The sequence below is a fragment of the Homo sapiens genome, chromosome 15 (genome assembly GCF_000001405.40).
Source record: "Homo sapiens chromosome 15, GRCh38.p14 Primary Assembly".
Classification (NCBI taxonomy): domain Eukaryota; kingdom Metazoa; phylum Chordata; class Mammalia; order Primates; family Hominidae; genus Homo; species Homo sapiens.
Genome location: NC_000015.10, coordinates 79,437,798 through 79,463,766, shown reverse-complemented (window position 1 = coordinate 79,463,766; position 25,969 = coordinate 79,437,798). Strand labels below are relative to the sequence as shown.

Below are 25,969 nucleotides of genomic sequence, written 5' to 3'. Positions count from 1 at the left end.
TCTTACCTGGGGCTGCTCCGTATGGAAACATAATCCATAGCTTGGCTCCCACAAATATGCTTATCCCACGTGCTACATATGGAAGGAGAAATCAGCTTGTATTTCATTAAACAGTTTGGCTCAGGTCTTGTGAGCAAATATTAGAATCTGCACTTGGTACAGAGTCGTAAATGCATTGTTAGCAAATCAGATGGCCGATAAAAAATACATAAATCAATCAAGCATTCCTACTGCTAAATGTTTACAAATAAGCAAAACAACGATCCCCTTGTTAAAAGTCTCTTCTGCTCTATGATTTATTAAAGTTCTGAATTCCATGTTGGGGGCCCAGGGAGTTGAAGGGTGTGGAAGTGGGCTGGCCGGTCTAAGCCGTCCGTGATCCATTCCAGGGCATTTGCCAGGGCACAGCTGGGCTTCCCCCACCCAGGGACAGTGAGAGGCTCACCTGCAGGTCCAGGGCTGTCAGCTTGCCCTTGTCGCCCGCATTCCGTGCATACTCCTCAATGGTCCAAGAAGGTTGGCCCCGCTTCACCTCGGCCAACTCGGTCAGCCGCATGTCTGTGTACAGGGGGTTGCTCTTCATGTGGGCCTTGAGGGAGGCAGGGTAGGGGTGAGGGCTGAACACCTGCTCCACCAGGAAGCCATCTTTGGGCTGCTTGGGCAGTCGGTGCTGTGGGGGAATGTCGTACTGCCTGTCTGCCTGCAGAGGGGCACAAAGAAGTCCAGACAAGTGGCACAGTTGCCCTTGGATTTCACAGTGCAATTGAGCAGCCAGCAGCTTTCCTGTAGACATTCAGGTAGCAAAGTGCAGTTACTTCCAGCCAAATCAAAAGTATGAAAGCATAACCATATTGAGGGAAATTCTCTAGGAAAAGCTTATGATCATAATGTTACTAATATAAACTAACATTTCTGTGCCAGAAAAAGGTTATTTAATGTAATCTTTAGGCCATCACTACCATTGTGAATCCCCATTGTACAGGTAGGAAAATGGAGCCCAGACTCAGTAACTTGCCCCGAGGCACACAGCTAGTAAGGGGTGGAGCTAGGATTTAAACCTGATCATCTGGCTTTAGAGTCGTTGTTTAACTACTGATATTAATGCCCCCTCTTTCTTTCACCATTTTGCACGGGGTACAGATGAGTAAAAGATACGGGTCCTTTCCTCAAGGAACTCGCTGAAAACCCTGATGCTACACTGCTTCTTTGGAGGGAAGAAGCTGAGTCAGAAAGCACATGTTGGGAGCCTCTAGTGATTTTCCCAGGCAGCAGATGGGCCCCTGGTCAGAGGGGATATGGCCTTCAGGATAAGAAAGAAGTCTGGGCAGCAGTGTGGAGGTAGGAAGGTGCCTAAAACAGGTGGCAATAATTAATATTCTCAGTCCTTGAAATGCAAGCCAAGGGTTTCTGCTCTCAGTATACCTGTTATAAGACTGGGTTAGTGCTCATTATGTGACCTCTTAGAACTGTGTTCAGACCCTTCAGCCAGCATTTGCGCCTTTGAACTATAACTGCCTGTTTGCCCATCTGGCTCCTCTGCTAAACTATGAGTTCCTTAAAGGCAAGGGATCATTTTGTTCACCTTTTAATCCCCTTCTCCAGCAACGTAATACCACCAAGTAGAAGACACTCCATGAATATTCATCAGAGGGTTAGAGGCGATATGAAGTCATGTGTATGGAACAGAGAGCAAAGAAGTTGTGTATCTCAGTAATAGCAAGAGAAAAAGGAAAAAAGAAGAATGTGAGTCAAAGTGTGTGTACAGAAGGAAGAGAAGGAGAATGTTTAGGTGTGATGCAATGAGAGTTGATGTGCAAGAACGTGGGCACACGTGTATGTGTGTGACCTATACACTTGCATAGGGGCTGGAAGCACACCTGGAGTGTGTGTGAGTGTGTGGATCATATGCTTGCATAGGGGCTGGAAGCACACTTGTATGTGTGTACGTGGATCAGATGCTTGCATAGGGGTTGGAAGCACACGTGGTGTATGTGTGTACATGTGTGAGTGTGTGGGTCCTACACCTGCATGGGGACTGGAAACACATCTCCACCTACCAGCAAACCCAACCCATTGGCTCTTACCCAAATAGAGCATAACATTTGGCTATTCTAGACCATCAAGACTGCTGACACTGACACAGAGAACACAGGATAAACCCACACAAGAAAATGAGGTTCCCTCTTATTTTCTAACTCATCAAAGCCAAGTATCTTCTAAGAGACTTCACCAGTTTTTGCTCATCACCACCGCCCAACACTCAGAGAGCTCCTATTGCATGCAGAGTCTGCACCAAGCTGGGAGGAAGGGGAGATGGTGATAATAACTACGACGGTAGCCACTGCAGGCATAATTGCAATTAACCAAGGGCTATGTGTCCACCACTCTGCTCAGTGCTAAACATGCATTGTCTTCATTTCATCTTCTCATTAAAATTCTGAGGTTGTAGCTATTATCCCTAGTATGGATGTGGAAACTCAGGTTAAGAGACTGACCCAATGTCAGACAGCTGGTAAGTGGCAGAGCCAGGATTTGAAACTGTTTTCACTTCTAAGATGGAAAGTTTCATTGCTGCCCATGCCTGTTCGTATCACTGAGTTTGTGTTCTCACTGGGCAGTCAATATATATACATAATACGTATTTTCAATAAAAGTTTCCATCCACTATGTCTGAACAAACGGGATTAAGGGCTGGAGACCAGCAATAAGCCCTAGGAAAGCTTACAGAGACTTATGAAGTAAGGGGCCTTGACGGGAGCATAGGACTTAGATCAGTACAGGGGAGGTGGACCAGAGAGTCTTGGTGGAGGATTCACATAAAGAAAAGTTTGACAGTGAAATAGGGCCTGGCCGTCATAGGTGCTCAATTAGTGTTTACTGAATGGGTGACCAAATGAATGAGCATGGCTATTTTGAGGCAAAACAGGAAGACTCATCAAGGTAGAGCAGGGTCCAGTCAAGGTATAACAGAGCCTTCTAGTTGAGGAAAGGTACATTCACAGGGTTGTGAAGGCCTGGCTAAGACGTTTGCAACTCTTTGCAGAGGCAAAGGAGAGTCAGAGAAGAGTGGGGAATAGGGGGCCCTGCGCAACCACAGAGAGTGGCATTTTAGGAAAGCGAATGCAGCAGTGGCCCATGAGATGAGATGGAAGGTGAGAATGTGCCCAAGGATCCCCGGTAGGGAAAGAGCCTTGACTCAACGTAGAGGTGTAAATGGAAAAGAAGGCAGAGTTGCAAAAGACACGACAGAAGGCAAATCCATAGGGTCTGGTAGCTACGCTGGACAAAGTGAGCCCAAGAGGAGGGACCAGAGGGGCTTCTTCAGTTTGGAGGATTGCTAGAATGCTGACTCCATCCTCACCCCTCCCAGAATGGAAATAGTGAGAGGGAACACTGTTTTTAAAGGAACAGAAAAGCCTGCTTTGGGAACTGTAGATTTTGACATGTAGGCAAGACATTTAGGGGAAACTGGCCTTCAGCAGTTTGACATATGCAACCAAAGCTCCAAAGGTGGGCCGGGTCTGGTCACTACCATGGGAATCACCATCCCCAAGGTGGTGAGAGTCACAAGCCAGGAAGGAGAAATGAGGTTGCAGAAGGGGACAAAATAAAGAGAATGCATCCCCAGTGTTAGCAACTTTGTGTTAGACCTATCGAGCGGATCTGACTGAAGCTTGTGTCTGCTCATTCCTGCTGGCTTTGTGAAGCTTTGACATTTGATAGGTGGGAGGCATGGCTGGTTCAGTTTAACCTAATATTTCTACAGAAGCACCTAACCATTTGAGTTCTCTAAATGGCCACTGTTCAATGATATCTGAAACCCAAAGCACCAGAAACCTGGCCAGACCCTGGCAGCTAAGAGATAGTGACAATAGAACCCAAGGGGAGGACTGGATCTGGGCATCTTGTGCCCAGCATGGCAGCATATATCAAACTCTGGATCCTCTCCAACACCACATGCAGTAAGCCGCTCCAGAAGCACACAGCAGTAACCAGCAGACACTAGAGGTTTATTTAAAATCAGGGGGATTTTAAATACTCCCTCCCCTCTTTGGACCCTGAAAATTTCCTTAAAACCCAGTTTTACAAGCTTTTCCTTCTCAGCACCATTTGAGGAGCTCGGCCTCCTCCCTGGCTTTGAATGTCTGTAGCCCACACCACTGTCACTCTCTGACAACTCAGACCTTGGAGACCTCAGGAGTAGGGCCTTCTCTGTCCACTGACCTTTTAGAAGCAGGACATGGAATGGAGACAAGCAACAAACTGAAGTTGCATCACCTTGGCCAGAAAGGGGTCACTGTAACCCAGTTAGAATGAACAGGATGGGCCACAGGTCCCATAGAAACAAACCACCCTTACTGCAGGGGGTGAGAGAAAGAAAGGATTCAAGTGTATGTGTGCACAATGATTCTAGGACTGAGGAAGTGAAGTCTGCTATAAACATGCAAAAGCACAGAGCTTACGTGAAAGAGCCTCCAACGAACAACAGTGTAGAGAAAAAAACTAAAAAGGAAAGGAAAGACACCAGATTAAGAGTTGCCGTCTTTGTGTGGTGGAACTATGAATGACTTTCTTATCTTTTTTTTTCTTGAGACAGTCTTGCTCTGTTACCCAGGCTGGAGTGCAGTGCATGATCTCAGCTCACTGCAACCTCTGCCTCCTGGGTTCAAGCAATTCTCCTGCCTCAGCCTCCCAAGTAGCTGGGACTACAGGCTTGTGTTACCACACCTGGCTAATTTTTTTTACATTTTTAGTAGAGATGGGGTTTCAACATATTGGCCAGGCTGGTCTCAAACTCCTGACCTCATGATCCTATTTATCTTCTTTACTTCCTAATCATCAATTTATTTTATAATGAAAAAAACCTCATACTTAAAAAGGAACATCACACATACAATGAAGTCCATGAAAAAGATGTATCAGCCAGCACCTTTTCAGTATTTTCCCTCGTGTACCTGGCCTGCATCCTATTTCAGAAAGGACAGGAAGATATCCTTGGTGATGCTTGCCTGCTCTGATACGTTCCCCATTCTATGAAAATCTGTTCTCACACCACCTGTCTAATGAATCCCAACCCTACGTTCTGCTGTCAGCAATATCGCAGCATGTGCTCCTCCTAGCTGATGGACAACCTGGTGGAACACACGACCTGCCTATGTTGTCCTCTCTATTCCAATGTGAAAACCCTGCCAAACCTGGAAGGATGACTGGCACACAGAGGCCAGGCCTCTTGCCTGTTTAACGCCATGTTCAAGGCTTTGAAATACACCAGGGCTATGATGAAGCTGGTGCCCGATTATGTGAACTTAAATTTAAATTACCTCTTTAGATTTCCGATGCCAGTCTTTATTATCTCCTGGGCCTGTGTCTTTTATCTCCTCCTCATTGAGGCCCACACGGTTGGTATAAGTGATGGTGCGCCAGTCTCTGGGCGAGTTGGAGATGCTGGCAATTTTGGACTCTGTGGCACTGTTCTCCTCTGTTAGGGACCTAGAGGATGGCCTGGTGAAGAGGCTTTTTTTTAAGGCCTTGACCCGCAGGCTTTCACTGTTGCTCCCGCTAGCATCAGAGCAGCACCAGTCAGGGTTGTTCTCTAGTTTGGGTCCGTGGGAGCCACTGTGTGCGTGGAACATCCGGGGAGAGGCACTGTCATCAGACGGACCCTCGCTTGTCAAGGAGTTCAGATCTATCTGCACACTCACCTTCTCAGGCTGTTGCATTTTCTGGTCCAATTTATTTAGTTTGCCCAAGACCTGGGAGATTTCATCACGGACACCCGACAGGGATTCCAGCTTCCGTTCAATTTCGCCAATCCTGAGCACCAGTTTGCACACACTGGTCTTCAGCTCTTCTTCCGAGTGGTGGGTGTTTTCAGGCCGGTTGCCCTTGTCTCCCTTGCTGTTGGGGACCCCATTGGCAATTTTGGTTAAGTTGTGCTCAGGGGAACTGTCGCAGTCTGACTTATGGAGCTGAGACAAGGATCCTGTGCTGTTGTAGCAGGACGACTGTATCACTCCCGTGGAGCCACTGATGCTCATGTCATCAAGAAATCGGAAAATGTCACTGATGTCGTCGCTGACAATTTCTGAGTCATCGTCTGAGTGCTTCATGGTGTGCCTGTCACTGTACTTGCCCTGACCAGAGGTGCACAGGTCTCTGCATTTCTTGGGCTCCAGCACGTGCTCAGTCTGGGTGCCCACGCTACTGGTGTCTGAGCTGAGCTGCCCACTGGTGCAGTTAATGCTCTTGTCTTTAAACTTTTTGACTGGTTCATGCTTCTCCAGGTCAACAGGGGATGAGATCTCTTTAGATTTGAGCCCATTTTGTTTTGCCGCATAAGCAATGGGGAGAATTGGCTGTTGATCCTTTGGCACAAGGTAAGTTGGGCGCCTTTCTGGGGCTGGGAAATTGGGGGTCTGGCTACTGGCATTTGGATAGTGTAGCTTCTCCTCGGAGGGATTTCTATTGAAAAAGGACCGTTCAAAGTCAGGAACTTCCTCTGTGTTTAGGCTCCAGCTTTTGGCTGGCCAGGGAGTCTGCTTGTTGGGCTTCCCTAGACAGCGCCTGGCTTCTTGGGTTCCCATCACGGGAGTGGGCCCAAAATATGTAGAGGCTTGAAGGTCATCTAAGCTTTCGTGCTTTGCTCGCCTTTTGTCAGGAACCGGGGAATACACTGGATTCAGGTACTGGCTGTTATAGGGCATTTCAAAGCTGTGGTTGAAGAAGGGTGGCTTGTGGGGTTCCTTTCGACTCTGGGGTTCCCTGTGCTCATTCTCTGCTTTGCTGATGGGGCCAACCAAACTGGGGGACACTGCCATCAAATTGTGAAAATCCTCTTTGAAGATATTCCTTTTCTGGACACAGGACTGGACCACAAATGGCTCCTCATTGGAAATGAAGGTCTCCTTGATGCTCTGATTGATGGGCAGGGAGTCCTGGTCTGAAATGGACTCGTTTTCGATGTTCATGGGGAAGTAGGTCCTCTGCATCTCACAGGGCTGAGGGCTGGTCACAGAGTACGGAGCCAGGGCCTGCAACCTGTCCAGGGAAGCGGCGCGGTTTTTCACCTCTTTGCTAACTCCCAACAGGAAGTTAGGCTCAGAGGCAGGGACAAACTGTGGGCAGTCCTTGCAGTCCATCTTCCGGCACTTGGACGACTGCCTGATGGGGTAGCCCCGGCTGAAAGACCTCTCACTCAGCTCACAGTTCAGGGGCTCACACTCAGCTGCATTGCAGATCTCTGTGTCCGACCTACATGATTCAAAGGATGCCTCCTTCTTGCGTACCTTCTGGCGGCCCGTGGGCAGCTTCTCCTTGGCAGCCCCGCCATTCATTTGGATCAGGTTGAATATCGTCACAATATCTGCTGCCACCATGATTTTCTTTGATTGCTGGTTATTCACAGTGCATTTCATCTTGTCTTTGAATAGCGTGGCTGGAAAATTGGGATCGAGACAAGCTGTGTAGAAGAGCACACTTCTCAGTTTGGCAAGCTGCGACAGGTCGAACCGGGCACAGAGAGATTTGCACAGGTCCTGATAAGAAACGGTATTTTGCTTGCTGTCCAGTTCCTCCAAGATCTTCACCAAGAAGAGGGAAGTTTCCTGACTGGTCTCCATGATTTATTACTTGAAGAGCTCTCTGACTACACTGAAACTTCAGGTCAGTTCTGTGGTGGCAATATTGAGAAAGAGAGGAGGAAAAGAGGATTATAAACACCAGTGGAGTTTGAAGTCAAGCTCCTTATAAACCATATAAAGAAATACAGAGAAAAACATTTTAATGATTAAAAATGTAATAAGGACAGTAAAAATATTCATAACATTCGATTTAGTAATTCCCTTCCTGGGAATCTACCTTAATGATTGATAACAATTATGCTTAAAGGTGTTCACTATGATGGCACTTGTAATAATGAAAAAGCAAAACATCTTAAATATCCAAATAGGAGAATACATAAACATGTTATGATATAACATGAATTTTTACAAACATTGAAACTACATTAATGTACATTCTTACAATGGACTACTACGCATCAGCAAAAAAGAACAAACCACTAGTACATGCAAGGACGTGGATGAATCTCGAATGTATCGTGTGTGGGTGGAAGAAGCCAGAGTCAGAAGGTACATCCTCCACTGCATGATTCCATCTTAATGACATTCTGGAAGACAGATCAGTGGTTGCCAAGACCTGGATGTGAGGAGGAGGGTTGACCTCAAAGGGGCACAGAGAAGTTTTCCTAAATGATATCATTGTTCTACATCCTGGTTGTGGTGGTGGTTACATGACTGTAGGCATTTGTCAAAACTCACAGGACTCTAAACTAGAAAGTGTAAGTTTTACTGTACATAAATAATACCTCAATTTAGAAATTACATAATGAAGACTTTTCATAACAAAACTATGATATAATATTGAGTGAAAAAAATATGAAAATAAATCTGTATAAGATCATAATGGTATAAAATTATGCATTCTTGAAAACAAAAATGAAAGAAAATAATGTGCACTAAGATGCTAATAGTGGTAAGTTCGGATTGTAAATATGGATTTTTTTCTGAATTAGTAATCTCTCTTCCCTAATACTTTATTATGTAAGTTTTCAAATATACAGCAAAGTTGAAAGAATTTTATAATGAACACTAATATACCCAAGATCTGGATTCTCCATTAATATTTTACTTTATTTGCTTTATTACATATCTATCCATATATTCATCATCAAGCTTTCTTATTTTTTTGATTCACTTCAGAGTAAATTGCAGACATCTGTACACTTCTTCCAAATACTTCATCATACATATCATTAACCCAATTCAAAAACTGTTCACAGATTTTAATGTAAAATGTACGTACAATGAAGTTCACAAATCTTAAGGGTGCACTGGCTGATGTTTCAACAATTATGTATGCCTGTGTAGAAACCGAAGACCCTATAAAGAACTAGAATGTTCCCATTGCCCCAGAAAGTTTCCTCATGCCCTTTTCTGTTCAACCACTGTTATTTTTATAGGTTTTTTTTTATTTCCCATCTTTTCTAAAATTCTTACAATGAGCATTTGTTATTTTGTAAGCACCAAACAATAATAAACTTTACCTTGAAATTGAACAAAAACACTACATTAACAGATCTTGGATGGTAAAATTAAAAATACCAAACCAAACATTTAACAAAACTTCATTAGAGAAGGTGAAGCCCTTTGTTGATAAACATAGATGCGGGTTCTAAGACTTACAGACACACATCAAATTACACAATGTGTTCATTTCCCTGGTCGCATACTGCTTAGAAAATTAGTATTTTGATAACTGATTTGTTGATTTTAAAGTTAACACAGTTCACATGTACCCAACCCATTTTCTAAGGGAATAGTATATTTTCTTTGGATTAAATTTTAGCAGCTCGAGGTAATGAGCTTTCTCTCCATCCTGAAGGCAGCCACTCCCAATAGGCTTCTATAAACATTAGCCTGGTTTCTCCCATGAATGTCTGGAGGGATATGCAGAGACCAGTGGTTTGCATTTTCTTGCAAGGAAAAGGAAACAAACCCTTGAGAGGTTCTGTTCCTGCCCAGAACAAGTCACCAGGAAACCCATTTCTTCCCACCCCGCCCCAGCCTTCCAATCCGTCTGATGGAAGCATTCTGTGTCCAAATGTTCTGGCTTGTTAAAGGTGGGGACAGCCTGTCACAAGGGGTCTCAAGTAAATGAATGGGTGTAGATATCAGAGCACAGGACCAGTGAATGTAATTTTGGGAACAGCAACTACAACTCATGCATATATTTTATCGTTTGGGTGAGACAAAGCCCTTTCAGGACTTCCAAGCTAATCCCATGTGTGTCCTACCATGCACCTCCCAGGAAAACCCAACACTTTGCTTCTCTGGGAAGATTTCTCAACTTTCTATCCTACTTTGCATGGCAAAGGAAATCCCAGGTCAAAAACCCTATTTGGAAAACCAAGGCCCAGTGTCTCCTGAAGTGAATAAAAGAAGTACAAACAAATATGGTAAGCCTGAGTTATGTTTTATCAAAACTGAAAGTAGGAGGTCTGTGGATAGAAACAGGTGCATGGACACACGTGCAGCACAGGTGCATGTAATGATCAGTTATCATAGAGAAACTGCACCCAGATTTCCTACAATGCACCAACGAGAACCAGAGAGGAAGAAGAGCAAGAGCAGAGATGGATTGAAAAATCTGTTTCCGGGCTCTGTAGCAGTGGAACAGGATCCAGCCTCCAGCATGAAGCCCTCAGCAGTCTACCTTATTTGACCACACAAACAACTGTGTAGGGCAGGAAGAGTACCCCCATGTTACAGATAAGGAAACTGAGGAACTCAGAGAGGAAGTAACTATATAATCCAGAGAGGTGACATGAGTTGCTGGGGGTCCTGTATGGGGTTAGGGGCCCAAGTGGACTCCAACCCAGGTCTTCTGACGCTGTTGAAGGGGCACTAGGCTCAATCGCATGCCAGGAGGACAAGCATCCACCGCCTACTGACAGAAGTGAATGAGGGGTGGAAGAGCCACTGTGGACTGACCACCTACTATGTGCTGAGGCCTTACATGATTTTAAGCAACAGCTCAGAGAGGGGGGCACGGACATTCCCCAGCTATTCAAGAGAAATGAGGAAAAGGAGGCTAGAGAAACTCCACTCAGAGCATAATGCATCACAGTCTGAAGCCGGATCTGGTCAGAGCAAGGCAGAAATAGCCGCCTGGAATCTCTGGGGGCTGAGCAAACTGCCCTGGGACATATGTGCATGCACATATGTCCCAGGGCAGCTTCACATTCACACAGACTCACCCATACACTCACACGCAGACACATTCACATAGCTTCACTCAGATTCACCCAGACACACCTACACACACTCACACAGCTTCACACTCACACAGACTCACCCATACACTCACATGCAGACACACTGACAGCTTCACACCCACAGAGCTTCACACTTAGACTCACCTAGACACAGACACGCACACAGCTTCACTCACCCACACACCCCCCCCACACACCCACACAGACTCACCCACACCCACACACTCATCCAGACACCCACACACACACACCCAGACTCATACCCACACCCACACTCACCCAGACACACACCCACACACACACAGACTCATCCAGACACCCAGACTAACCCAGACTCACACCTACACAGACTCACCCATACACTCACACACACAGACTCACCCACACACACCCACACACTCACCCAGTCATACCCATACATTCATATAGCTTCACACTCAGACTCAAATCCACACACAGCTTCACACCCAGACTCACACCCACACACACTCACACAGACTCACCCACACACTCATACAGCTTCACACTTGCACAGCTTCAGTCATGCAGACTCAGGGACATACATATACCCAGACACACTCACACAGCTTCAGTCACACTCATCCAGACACACACATCCAGACACTTGCACAGCTTCCCAGCTTCACACTCACACAGACCTAAACACACAGACTCACGCTCATGCACATACACACAACACATTCATACACACTCTCAAGCACACACACATTCACCTACACACACTCACACAGACCTACACTCATACACAGCTGCACACACATACGCTGTCGCACTTCCACACACCCATGTGTACACACAATTCACACAAGTACTCAAGCTCCCACACATCCACAAACACATTCACACCTCTGCACACACACACATTCACAAACACGTATACACCACATACACAGGCTCACTCACAATCTCCACACTCTTTCTCTCCTAGGTGTCTCTTAGCTCTGTTCTCTCCTAAGTGTCTCTTAGCTCTGTCCTCAGGGTTTAAACTTTCTTAACATCCCAGCACATCTCCATGCATATTTTGGGGGCTAAGCAGCCAACAAATCCACCCCTCTCTGGCGTTTGGGAAGCTGACCCCATGATGCCGCACATTGCCTGCCAACAAGACCTGCAAACACAGCCACTGCAGCACCCTGTCACCCCCACCCCCATGTGGAAAAGCTCCGCAAAGACTCTGAGAGGCCAATCACAGGACTTCCATCCCACCTGGCTTCAGAGCTCCTTGCTGAGGAACAGCCATGCCCAGCGCGGCAGGGAAGCTGGCAGGAGGAGGAGCCGGTGAGCAGCAGAGATCCGAAAATCATGAGGCCAGACTGGGGATTGCCTGCAGCACATCAGGCCCCCATCGGGCCCAACTGACTGCCCAAGCCAACACCGTAGCCCAGGCCTCCCCTCCCCTGTGTCTCCCGCAGACCCGTCTGCTTGGAGGCCTGCTGCCTCGGCTGCCCACATCCTCCCGCAGTCCTGCTCACCCACGCCGGCTCCTGGAACAGCCCTTCTGCCCCAGTCCCTCGCCAGGTCCCAGAGTCTCCTCTGTTCCCTCCGTGGTGCTCAACAGCCCTCCGCCTGTGCCTTGGCTAAAGCGCTTATCACGCAGGAGTTTTCAACCAGGTAAGATTCACCTGGGATGGTTTTAAAACATTGAGACCTGGCCTCCCCTACCCTAGACCAGTTAAATCAGAATTCCTAGGAGGGGTCCAGGTCTTTAGGAGTTTTAAAAGCCACCCCAAATTTCTGAACCATGGGCCTCCAGATTTTGGGACCAAGAAGCCCCATTTAATAAGTCGGAGGGATGAGGTTTGTGAAAGGCATTGAAGCCTAATGGTAGAGAGGAGCGACAGGGGCCCACAGACCTGGGCTCAGACTCCAGTCCTGCCCACTATGTGACGTTGGATAGGTTACTTACAGCTCCCACACCCTGCCTCAGTTTTTTCATCTGTAACAATGGGTTTAATTAACAAGCATATGTAAAGCACTTAATAATAAAGAGCTTCCCATGTGACAGGCATTCAACAAATAACAGCTGTCACTCATGGAACAGCTGTAGCAATGGGAATTCTAGCAGTCTCAGTGGCTTCATGCCTCACAGCACCCTCTGCAGGTTATAAAAAAGGAGTATTTTTGAAAAATGACTCTATTCTGTACAAAGAGCAAGAGACGCCTGCCTAAAGCGGGATTCTGGCCTCTCAAGTTTTACATTTTCAACTTATTTAAAGACTTTTAGTTTCTCATTATAAAAAGCTTCATCCTCAACCACATGCTCCCATGGACCTTCAGTAGACTAATGATTTACTGCCTCTCTCTAGGCTGCACATGACCTCAGAGGGGAATAACAAATTGGCTGTGGGGTTCATTATTCAGCTTTTTTTTTTTTTTAATAGGAAGACAGTTCAGAAAACTGATTCCATGAAAAGTTCTGAAAGCCAGAGGTTGAAATTGCTCACTCAGAATTAATGGGGGTGCTCTCGTCGCCCGCCAATCCAAACTACAGCACACCCTCCTCACTATGTGACTCTTACTTTGTGCGTCTGCCTTATGTGTCCTTGAAGATTCTGTAGGTGTCCAGCCCCCACTAAAACTTGTTTCTGAGCACCCAGAAGGTGCATGAGACTGGGCTAGGCACAGCTGAGAAAGGTAAAGGGAAGAAAACACTCTTTAGAGCGGGCTGGATGGGACCACAGTGAACTCCAGCCTAACCCTTCATTTTATGGTCAAGAAAACTGGGGTCCAGAGAGTAACATGACTTTTCAAAGGCACATGTAGAGCTAGTGGCAGAACTGTCCCCAACACCCAGGGTTCCTGACCCCTAGGCTGTTTTCATAAATGTCTGCAAGAATGCCAGTTCTGACTGTCAAGTGCCAGAGGAGCATAAACATGGAGCTGGGAACCCGATTAAGGGGGAGATGAATTCCAGCCATGGGGAAAAGGTAAAGCTGGCTTCACAGAGAAGGTGCCATCTGCAGTGGCCGCAAAGACTAAAGAGGAGGGGAGTGTTTGATGGTCTGGAGAAAAGGGACAGGGTAGGTACTCTAGGCAGAGGGCAGAAGGCATGACGGTACAGGGCAGCAGAGAAGAGTCTGTATGTCTGGTAGGGATGGAGAGAAGGAGGTGGAGCTGGACAAACAATTTAGATAGGGAGTGCTATGGTTTGATTGTGTCCCTTCAAGATTCAGGTGTTGCCAGTGTGATAGTTTTAAGAAGTAGGACCTTTAAGACCCCTTCCCAGGAATTCTGATTTAACTGGTCTAGGGTAGGGGAGGCCAGGTCTCAATAGGTTTTAAAAACCATCCCAGGTGATTGTGATTAGGCCATAAGGGCTCCTCCCTAATGAATGGGTTTCATGCCCTTATAAAATGAGGCTTTGTGCAGCATTCTGCTAGCTTGCCCTTTTGCCCTTTTGTTATGTGAAGATGCAGCAAAAATGCCCCCACCAGATACATCAGAAACTGGCACCTTGATCTTGGACTTCCCGGCCTCCAGAGCTATGAGAAGTAAATTTCTGTTCCTTATAAATTACCTAGTCTCATGTATTCTGTTATAGCAACACAAACATACTAAGATAGGGCGTACACTAAACTCTGGGCTGGGAGTCTGAACTCAATTCTGTAGTAAATGAGAGCTGGGAACTGACAAAGTGGGTGTTAGAGCAGAGCAAGCCTGAGGTTAAGATGAGCACTGCAACCTACAGGATACGCTGATGGGGATCCATATTGTCTTAGCCCCTTTCAAAACCTCCTACCCGTATACAGCGAAGGGAAGAACTCCAGGCTCCTCTAATTCCTAACCCATAGGTATTTCCACTAGGTAATAGTCTGTAGTTTGGGAAAGGCCAGAACCAGATGCCTGATTTTTTTTCCCATTACCCTGTGGCACCTTGTTCATTTCTCATGCCACATTCTGGGCATGATAAATGTTGTTGCTGTCCAGTCTACAGAGCTAAAATGAATACCCACCCTTTCACAATCTTACGCATATTCAACTGCTCACACTCTTGGCATCTAATGTTAATCAAAGCAGAGCAAAAAGAGAGAGAGATGATTTAGGGATATAGTTTGTAGTATTGCTGCTTGAATCTTTGGACAAAAGACAAGCTCTCTGAATTTCATTTCCAACAACTCCATTAGAAATCTAATCTTCCCTTCTGCTACCAACAGCCCCAAAATGAATGACATATACCTTGAACTGGATTAGCAAAACTCAGTTATAAAGTATTCTTATCAAACCTTTCCAATACGCCAAAATATATTGATCTTTCAAAAACTGAAATAAAGTGCAGAGATATAACAGCCACAATGTTCTCATTTCACGCTCACGAAAGCACACTGCAAGAGAATTCATCTGCAGTATTCATGTAATTCCTGCGTCGGTGTTGGCCTGCTTGTTTTGAATTTTGTCTTGCTTCTGGTTTTAGGATGGTGGTTGCTACTGTGATTTGGTGAAACTATAAAAGGAAGCTATCAATTTAGGAATATAAAATTTGTGATTAAGAATTTCTACATTGTTTGTGTCACCTCTAATAAAATTTCAAACTTAAGGGGGAACACTTTCTCTCCCAGAGATAGCCATCTTCCACAAAAAAATTGCTAAAGAGGGCAGCAAGGAGTTGGGAAGGGGTTACACTTCTGTTTCTCAAGACGTATACCTGCAGAGCTCAACCCTAGTGCAAAGCCCTTGGTTAAGAAGTCAAGTGATTATGAAGCAATTTCCAGATCTGGCAAGAAAGTAAGCTTAGAGAATGTGAAAAACTCTGATTATGAACACCTCAAAATGCTGGATAAGATGCAAATTTTTTTCTTAACGGGCATAACTAAACTTGCGAGAGCAAGCTAAATGCCCAGATTCCAGAAATAGAGAAGAGATTGAAAAATCACAGAGGTAGACAGGAGAGCTGGCACTGTGGCTGCCCTAAGAGTAAAGGGGATGGTCCTTCTAAGGTAGATTAGGATAGGCCTTCCATGAGATGGAGAGTAGAAACACAGATGTCTGCATAAAGCTGGGACCCTTGAAGGACTATTCTCTAGCTTTATGTGAAAGGATGAAAAAAATCTGGTGCACAGTAAACAAGGACACTTGTCAGCCTCTGCCTGGGCTCTGGGTTAAATAAAGTAAAAAATTACCCCTTAGAAATGGAAAACAAGGCCAATGTCTTAAATATTTTGGGGCCCAAATTTATGTTGTCACGGTGTGCAAGAACTCTTGAGCTAAGAAATTAATGTAAAAAATCAGTTCCATGCTGCTAATGTCCATGGCTGCAAGCAGAAACAAGAGCAAAAGTACTCAAGACAATCAAAGGTGCATAGGAGCACCACAGAGAAAAGAATCCACCTTAAGGTTGAATTATATTTTTAAAAATTACAACACACAAGAGAAAATACTACTCAATGAGTAAGAATCAGCAGACACAAAATCACCAGCAGGATTAGAACTTCAAGAACCTAAAATAAATGAATCCACAATCTTAAAGAAGATACAAATATACTTAAAATAAGTAAAGGCATAAAATTAATAGAAAATCCAAATAAAAGAAGACACTATGAAAAAAGTACATACAGATCTGGAAAAGAAGTATACTAATAGAAAAAGAATCATTAAAATACAAAACACAGTGGCATTAAATAGCATATTAGATCTAAATAAAGAGAAAGTCTATGAACTGGAAGATAGGTCTAAGGGAATTTAGCTGAATGCAGCACAAAGAGATACAAAGATAAAAGACATGAAACTGGCCGGGGGCAGTGGCTCACACCTGTAATCCCAGAGCTTTGGGAGGCTGAGGTGGGTGGATCATTTGAGGTCAGGAGTTCAAGACCAGCCTGGCCAACATGGTGAAACCCTGTCTCTACTAAAAATACAAAAAGTTAGCTGGGCATGGTGGCATGCACCTGTAATCCCAGCTACTCGGGAGGCTGAGGCATGAGAAGCTTTTGGACCCAGGAGGCAAAGGTTGTAGTGAGTTGAGACTGCATCACAGCACTCTAGCCTGAGTGACAGAGTGAGACTCTGTCTCAAAAAACAAAACAGCAACAATGACAACAACAAAAACCATTAAATCAAGCTTAAGAGACATGAGCATAGAAGGATAAGTTTCAGCAAATATCTATTTGGAATTCTAGGAGAGAGAAAAGAGAATGGCAGAAAGATGATAAAAGTGATAATATATAAGAATGTTCCAGAATTGAAAGCATGAATCTTCTAACTCAAGGAGTGATATAAATACTAAATAAGACATATAAATAATGAACTCACCCTTAGATACCTAAACACATCATATTGAAACTAAAGAATACCAGAAATGAAAAGAAAAACTTGCCTAAAAAATTGAATTACCTAAAATAGAATAAACTTAAAAGCAGATTTTTAAGAACACAATTATAGACTAAAAAATAGAAATAAAATCATTAAAATACTGAAAAAAATAATATACAGATAATTTTATTACCATGTAAACTATTATTCAGAAGTAAAGATAAAGAAATAGTTTCAGAGTTTATAACTCATATTCCTTATTGTAAAAACTATAAAGAAGCTCCTTCAGAGGGAAAGAAAGTGAATCCAGAGGAAATAAGGTGATAAATATATAGTTAATTCTAATCATGTATCAACTCTATAAAACTGTTAATGAATAATTTAATGGGAGAGGAAGTGATCAGAATTAAAACTTTTAAATTACTATGTTATCTGGAAGAGGAAAGAGATGTTAAATAAATTTAAATTTTAAGTCAAATATGCATATTAGAAAAAAGTTATGAGTAATTATTAAAAGAGCAGGAAGAATCTGTACAACTTAATGCAGGACTTCTAAACCAGTGTAGAAAAAACAAGGGAACAAATAAAACCCAGTCAATTAAGAGAAGGTAGAAAATAAGAGAAATAAAGAAGCAAAGTATAACTAATTAATATCACAAATAAAATGACAGAAATATTTCAAAATACATCATATTACAATAAATGTAAATAGCTTAAACTTACCAGTTACAAGACTATGACTCTCAAGCCGGATTTTTAAAAATTAAAATAAAATGCAAAGACTACCTACAGGAGATATACCTAAAAATACTATCACAGGCTGGGCACGGTGGCTCACGCCTGTAATCCCAGCACTTTGGGAGGCCAAGGCGGGTGGATCACCTGAGGTTGGTAGTTCAAGACCAGCCTGACCAACATGGAGAAACCCCATCTCTACTAAAAATACAAAATTAGCCAGGGGTGGTGGTACATGCCTGTAATCCCAGCTACTTGGGAGGCTGAGGCAGGAGAACCACTTGAACCTGGGAGGTGGAGGTTGCGGTGAGCCAAGATCATGCCACTGCACTCCAGCCTGGGCAACAAGAGCAAAACTCCGTCTCAAAAAAAAAAAAAAATAACTGTCACAGAAAGATTTAAAGTATAAGGATGAAATAAGATTTATCAATCAAAACTAAATCAGAGTATTGTTAGTGTTTGTTACAGGCAAAATGGCATCACAGTTAAAGATTCTAAACTCTGGAGCCAAATTGCCCAAATTTAAATACAAGCTGTTCTACTTATAAGCCATGTGATTTATTAGTTATTAGTTGGAGCACTTATTAGTTATTACCCTGGGGCACATTATAGTCTCTCTGTACTTTAGTTTCCTTATCTGCAAAATGGGGATGATAATAGTATCTACTTTATATGATTTGTTTTATGTAATAGTCCCTTGCATACAATAAGCACTCTAATAAGTGTGAGCTATAACATTATTATTATATTAACATAAATAATAAAGATATTAAGGTTAAAAATCATTAGGGATACAAATAATTATTGCAAAAATGATAAATAAAAACAACTCACCAGGAAAATAATCCTGAACATATCGACACTCAATAATATAGCCTTAAAAATACATGAAGCAAAAATTAACAAAATTTCTAGGAAATATATGAAATTCACAATAATGCATAGAGATTTTAACATATCTTTCTCAAGAAACTGAGTGATCAAAGAAAATAATACATTTGATATCAAAATACTAAAACAACACAATTAACACACTTGATCTATACATATAGAGAACCTGGACCCAAGAATACACATTCTTTTCAAGTAATGCTGGCCACATATTATGATACAAATTTTTAAAAAAATGAATTTATATCCTGCAGTGATTTTTTTTTTTACAATAAGGTAATAAAATTAACAAATGTATACCCAAAGATATCACCTGAACACACGGAAATTTAAACATACAGGTCTCAATAAGCCATAGGTCAAAAAACTAATCATAGTAAAAATTAGAATATGGTTATAATTAAATGTAATGAAAATACTACATATCAAAACTATAAACTATAGTTAAAGCTATCATTAGAGGAAAGTTTATAGTAATAAATACAAATAGTGGAATAAAAGGTTGAAAATCAATGAGCTAAGCATCCCACTCTAGAAGTGGGAAAAAAATCAGTATAGTAAATACAAAGGAAAATGGAAGAAGCAACTAATGTTACGAGAAAAATTAGTGAAGTAGAAAACAAATAAACATTACCATCAATGAAACCTAAATGATTTCTTTGAAATAACAAAATTGGAAATCTCTGGCAAGAATGATAAAGAAAAAAAGAAAAGAGACATGAATAAATAATGGAACAACATTAACATAGGTAACATTTATGGAGAACTTTACTATGTGCCAGAAAGGTTTTAAACACTTTATAATGATTAACTTATTTAATCCTCAAAATCACCTTACAAAATAGGAACTAATATGATACTAATTTTATGGCTGAATTTTCTCCAGCACAGAGCAGGTCCGTAACTTGTCAAAGGCCACACAGCCTAAGGCATGTGTGAACCCGGGCCTTAACTATACACTCTAAGTCTAGAGCTCACGTTACACATCACATTATACAGCACTTCACAAAATTAGGGATGAAAACAGGGATAGAGCCACAAATTCAATAGACAACTTTTTGGAAGTTTTATTTAATATAACACCAAGGATTGCTGAATATGCAGGCCAACAGTTTTTATATGCTACTGGTGGGGATGAATATTGGCAGAATCACTTTAGAGGGCAATTTGGTAATACAGTTGAAGCTCAAGATAATCAAAACCTATTGCCACCCCAGATCTACCTTGAGGTACCCTAGATAAGCATGCACATAGGTTCATAAGGAGACAAAACTGTTATCAAACACTTTTGAATAGTAAAATAATGTGGGGGAATAAATGAGTTTATCCACATAGTTTATATTATACAACAGCTAATATGAATGAATTTACTTACAATAAATTTGAAGATAAACCTCAAAAACTTAAGAATGCATGGAAAAAGTTGTGAATGGATCTATCATATCATTGATGTAATTGGAAAAAAAACCTCAAATAGATTATTTAGGGATGTATACATAAAAAGGAGAATGCAAAAATCTATATGGAAATGAAATATACCAGGTTTGGGATAGCGGTTTCTGGGAGGGGCAGGAAAGATGTGGTATAAGGCCTACATTTAAGGCCCAATATGATGTGCTGCCCTGACACCTGGTGAAACCAGGAGGACCTTGAATGGCCAAACTGCAAGTTTCTCTACTCCTGCAGGTAAGGTACCCTAGTCAAACCACTCTTCTTATCAAGGGACCAGGCACAGATTCTACTTACCCCAAGTGGCAGCTTCTGGTTCCCTGCCAGCCCTCAGAAATATTCAAACAAGCCAATCACATCCTCTTGTGGGAATCAGGGGTCACCTCACCATTTTGATACAGCAAAGCCTGCCTCCCACAGCCCGTTTGTTCCCTCTGTTTCTAAGTGCAGCTCCCGTGTGGCCCTGTGTGGCCTGTGGTGTCCTCCGCCTGCCCTCCTGTGAGTACAGGCAATTAATAAATCACTGTCCATCTCATCTGCTCAGTGTTGGTGTCAAGTGTTCAGTCATCTCGGTAACCTTAGAGTGGAAATCCTCTCTCACCAATGCAGGGAGTAGCAGGTGATTAAAACAAAACAAGTGGCAGGTGGGACTTGAACTATATCATATTCTTTTCTTTAAAAACAAACAAAAAACAAACACTGAAGCAAAAATGACAAAACTTTAACATCCGTTTAATTTCACTGGTATATGGATGTCTACTGGGTTATTTTATGTACTTTTCTTAATTTTTTAAAATAAGTACTAATTTTAAATAAGGTAAAAACACTAGATAAACAAGTTCCAATTTATCTGCTTTTACCGAGACCTGCCAAAAAGAGAGCTAAAAGAAAATTTATATAAGTAAGGCTCTAAATGGGCAGTAACCATAAAGAAAATTCACCAGGCAGATTTTTTGCTATTGTTTATGTTTTGTTGGAAGTTTTTTTTTTTTTTTTTTCATTTTTATGGGGCAAGGCCATGCATGTTAAAGGTAACACTAAGTAATTATTTGCTTTAAGTTAATTATCTAAGAATTCTGGTCAAAATAAAAATCTATTTGGATAGCCAAATATGAAAACTTAATACAAAGTTCCTATTATAATTTGACAGATAAATCAATGGAACAGAATAGAAAGTAGCAGACCCAAATATAGATAAACAGTCAATATATTTTAAAGGTGGCCTTTCAACTCAATGAGAAAATAATGGTTTATTCAATAAACATAAATGTGTTACTTTGTTAGTTAAAATACTACTGGAATAATTGGTTAATCAACTGGTAAAAGGTTAGCCCCACTTCTTGCCATTGACAAAAGTAAATTACAGATGAAATATAAAGCAGAAAATTCGAGTCAAGATTTAGATAATTTGAGGTAGTGAAAGGGTTTTCCACACAAGATCCCAAAATTGAAATAATTAAGATGAAAACTGATAGGTTTGGATAGATAAAAATTGCTTACCATGTCAGTAAACATAAAAAAAAAACAGTAAAAAAAAAAAGTAAAAAAACCTTGAAAAAACAGAATGCAGAAAATTCTTGCATTTCATTGAAAGCTCTTAAAAATGTATATGAAATAATGAACAATTCAAAGAAACAAATGGTTAATTTACAAAGAAAGGAAGGCAAAGAAAAATGTGCAACATCATAAATAAAGCAAAGTAGAACAGCAATTTGTTTGATTACTTATTTATAAATCTAAAGAAAATAAAAATGTTTTCTTTCTAAGTGGAAAAGTACTAAAGACTAAGGGTTCTGACTATTATTAAGGGTTTTTGATATTATTTATAACCAGCATATAGTATATTTGTTATGGTATCTATAATCAGTATACTCATACCACTGTTGGGGAGAATGAGGGAAAATAGGCACTCCCATGTATTCCTGGAGAAGTATGTGACTTACAGGAAGTAATCAACAATAAAACTTGAAAAATACGCATACCCTTGAAATGAAGCAAATCCACACTTCTAAGTATTTATCTGAAGAAAATAATCAGATATATGTAAACAAAGTTTATGAATATATTCTCTTTAATGTTGCTTAAAATAAGAAAAAATTAGCAATAATCTTTGTAGCCAACACTGGGTTCTATAAATTGCAGTGCATCCGTATGATAGAATACCATGTAGCCATTAATAAGTCATGGTGCAGAAATACATTTATTGGCATGTTTAATTTTTAATGATGTATTCTTAAGTGAAAAAGTATACCACTAAATGGTTGGTTGTATTATGACATAAAATTTTATACAGACACTCACTCTTTGTATATATTAATACTAAAATGTTAATAATAATTGTCTCTGGGTGGTTTTCTCTTCCTTTCATTTCAGGGCTGTTTTATTTAAATGTTCTAAATATGTGATTTTATAATAAAAAATAAAGAAGAAAGGATTTGCAAGCAAATCCTGGCAAGGGGAATTTGAGAAAGTAAATTATCATCTCTAATCTTTGATTTTCTTATCTATAAAAGGAAGATATCAATTCCTCTTCCTGAGGTTACTAACAAGGTCAAATGAGACATCCATATTATTCATTCAAAAATGTTTCTTTTGTAACTGGCATGCATCAGGCACTGTCTTAGCTGGTGGCAATACAGCAGGGTGTAAGGCAGACAATGAACAAAACAAAAACCCTGCCCTCATGAGCTTATAATCTAGTGGGGGAGACAGATAATAAGCGAAATAGAAAAGTAAAATTTAGAGTGTATTAGATGGTAGAAAGTGCTATGGAGAAAAGCAGAAAAAGGGGTTAGAAAGAACAAGGGGAGGTATTACAACTGTAAACAAGATGGTCAGAGGAGGCGCAGGGGAAAGATACCTTTGAATGTGGTCCTGAAGGAGGCAATGGAGCAAACCACGTGCCTGCCTGGGTGGTGGGGAGGAGCGGGGGAAGGGGAAGGCAAAGCCCAGGCAGAGGGAACCGGAAGAGCAGATTTTATGAAGTACTTTTATGACCAACCAAACATGCCAGTCCTGCTTCCAGCCCAGGGCCTTTGCTCTTGCCTGCCTGGGCATGATGGCTTCTAAGACAGGGAACACTCACAATTTCCCAAAGGCAGCCTCTTCCACAATTGCACCCACTGGTCCTCATCCTGCCCCAGGGACATGCAGAAGCCAAATCCACTTTCGAAGGGCAGTTCTTCGAGTATTTAAGGATGGGTCTTACATCCCATTTCTCCCATTTGCTTCAGGACCTGGCTGCAGCTCCCTGCATCTTTTGGGTTGATGGAGAGAAGGCTACCAGGTGCAGTCTCTTGACTCAAAAACTCAAGCCAAACCCCAGATCTTCTCCTTATGCGGGAAACTCACAACAGCCTTGTAAAATATGGGGGATAAAGCAAGTCTCTGGCCTCACCCCAGAGATTCTGACTCAGCAGATGAGGCCTGGAAATATGCATTTATAAGGTCCCCTGGAGGTTCTGGTATAGTGGATGCAGTGACGGCTAACTGGGAAATTCTGGACTAGACACACCTTGGGGCTAATGATCCATGGTTCTTTAAATAATTTCCAATTGGCTCATGCATTTCTCACATTGTGTCTCCTTCCCCTGAAGTGCAGAAAAGAACAGGAGTTCCATTCCTCATTCTAGACACCATAATTTCAGCTAAGGATCTTTTTGGTGGCCATAGTATACTGTTGGCTCAGGCTGAGGTTATGGAAAACTAAATAACCAAATACTTTTTCCTTCCTGCTGTGACTACAGAGTCAGGCTTCTCCCGTACCTGCTGAGCGTCTTCAGAATCACCGTGTTCTTTCCGTCTTTCACCCAATAGCTCTAGGGAACACCCAACCTGAGCCAGACACTGTGCTCCTCACCAGGACAAAACTATAAATGAGACCCTGGCCATGCCTGCAGGGGCAACAGGCTAGAGGAAGGGGAGCAGCAGTAAACCATCTGTCATAGCACAGGGCAGTCAGCGCTCCGATGTCATTGGCACAAACAGTGGGAGCCCACAGCCAACCACCCAGCCCACAGACTACCTACCTTAACCCACATCCGACACTATCTACCCACGTCTCAGTCCCACACAACACAGAGAACATTCCCTGACTGACTGCCACCATATCCCACATACTCATGGCCTACTCCACCCACATCTCATCACTACCCACACACACTGCCTACCCCACCCACATCTCATCACTACCCACACACACCCACACACACACTGCCTACCCCACCCACATCTCATTACCCACACACACACTGCCTACCCCACCCACATCTCATCACTACCCACCCCACCCACGCCCACCCACTCACTATCCACCCCACACCCCACACACTACCCACCCCACCCACACCCCACAACCTACACACACCCACACCCCACACACTCACTACCCACCCCACACTCCACACACTCACTACCCACCCCACACACACCCCACACACTCACTACCCACCCCATCCACACCCCACACACTCACTACCCACCCCACCCATACCCGACACACTACCCACCCCATCAACACCCCACACACTCACTACCCACCCCATCCACACCCCATACACTACTCTCCCACACCCACACCCCACACACTCACTACCCACCCCACCCATACCCGACACACTCACTACCCACCCCATCCACACCCCACACACTCACTACCCACCCCATCCACACCCCACACACTCACTACCCACCCCACCCATACCCGACACACTCACTACCCACCCCATCCACACCCCACACACTCACTACCCACCCCATCCACACCCCACACACTCACTACCCACCCCACCCATACCCGACACACTCACTACCCACCCCATCCACAACCCACACACTCACTACCCACCCCATCCACACCCCACACACTCACCACCCACCCCATCCACAACCCACTCACTACCCACCCCATCCACACCCCACACACTATGCTCCCACACCCACACCCTCACTACCCACCCCATCCACACCCCACTCACTACCCACCCCACCCACACCCCACACACTCACTACCCACCCCATCCACACCCCACACACTCACTACCCACCCACACCCACACCCCACACACTACCCACCCACCCCACACCCCACACACTACCCACCCACCCCACACCCCACACACTACCCACCCACACCCACACTCCACACACTCACTACCCACCCCACACTCCACACACTCACTACCCACCCCATCCACACCCCACACACTACCCACTCACACCCACACCCCACACACTACACACCCACACCCCACACTCACTACCCACCCCACACTCCACACACTACCAGCCCCACACCCCACACACTCACTACCCACCCCATCCACACCCCACACACTCACTACCCACCCCATCCACACCCCACACACTCACTACCCACCCCATCCACACCCCACACACTACACACCCACACCCCACACTCACTACCCACCCCACACTCCACACACTACCAGCCCCACACCCCACACACTCACTACCCACCCCACCCACACCCGACACACTCACTACCCACCCCATCCACACCCCACACACTCACTACCCACCCCATCCACACCCCACACACTACCCTCCCACACCCACACCCCACACACTCACTACCCACCCCATCCACACCCCACTCACTACCCACCCCACCCACACCCCACACACTCACTACCACCCCATCCACACCCCACACACTCACTACCCACCCCACACTCCACACTCACTACCCACCCCATCCACACCCCACACACTACCCACCCACACCCCACACACTCCCTACACACACCCACGCCCCACACACTCACTGCCAAC

At 43.5% G+C, this 25,969-nt stretch overlaps 1 protein-coding gene across 6 annotated transcripts in view; it reads right to left on the bottom strand.

The window, feature by feature from the left end:
* Positions 1-25,969, bottom strand: part of MINAR1 (membrane integral NOTCH2 associated receptor 1) — a 60,905-nt gene that overhangs the window by 8,538 nt on the left and 26,398 nt on the right. For 4 of the 6 annotated variants that reach the window (XM_017022027.2, XM_011521392.2, NM_015206.3 and 1 more), the window contains exons 2-3: positions 5,322-7,669; positions 446-700 (exon numbers count right to left, since the gene is read on the bottom strand). In XM_017022027.2, coding sequence (XP_016877516.1) covers positions 446-700; positions 5,322-7,619 — 2,553 coding nt within the window. In that variant the 5' untranslated portion in view covers positions 7,620-7,669. Of the gene's footprint in view, positions 1-445; positions 701-5,321; positions 7,670-8,066; positions 10,755-18,670; positions 18,790-25,969 lie in introns of those variants that run through there. The other 2 variants (XM_011521396.3, XM_011521393.4) reach the window with 2 other exon arrangements.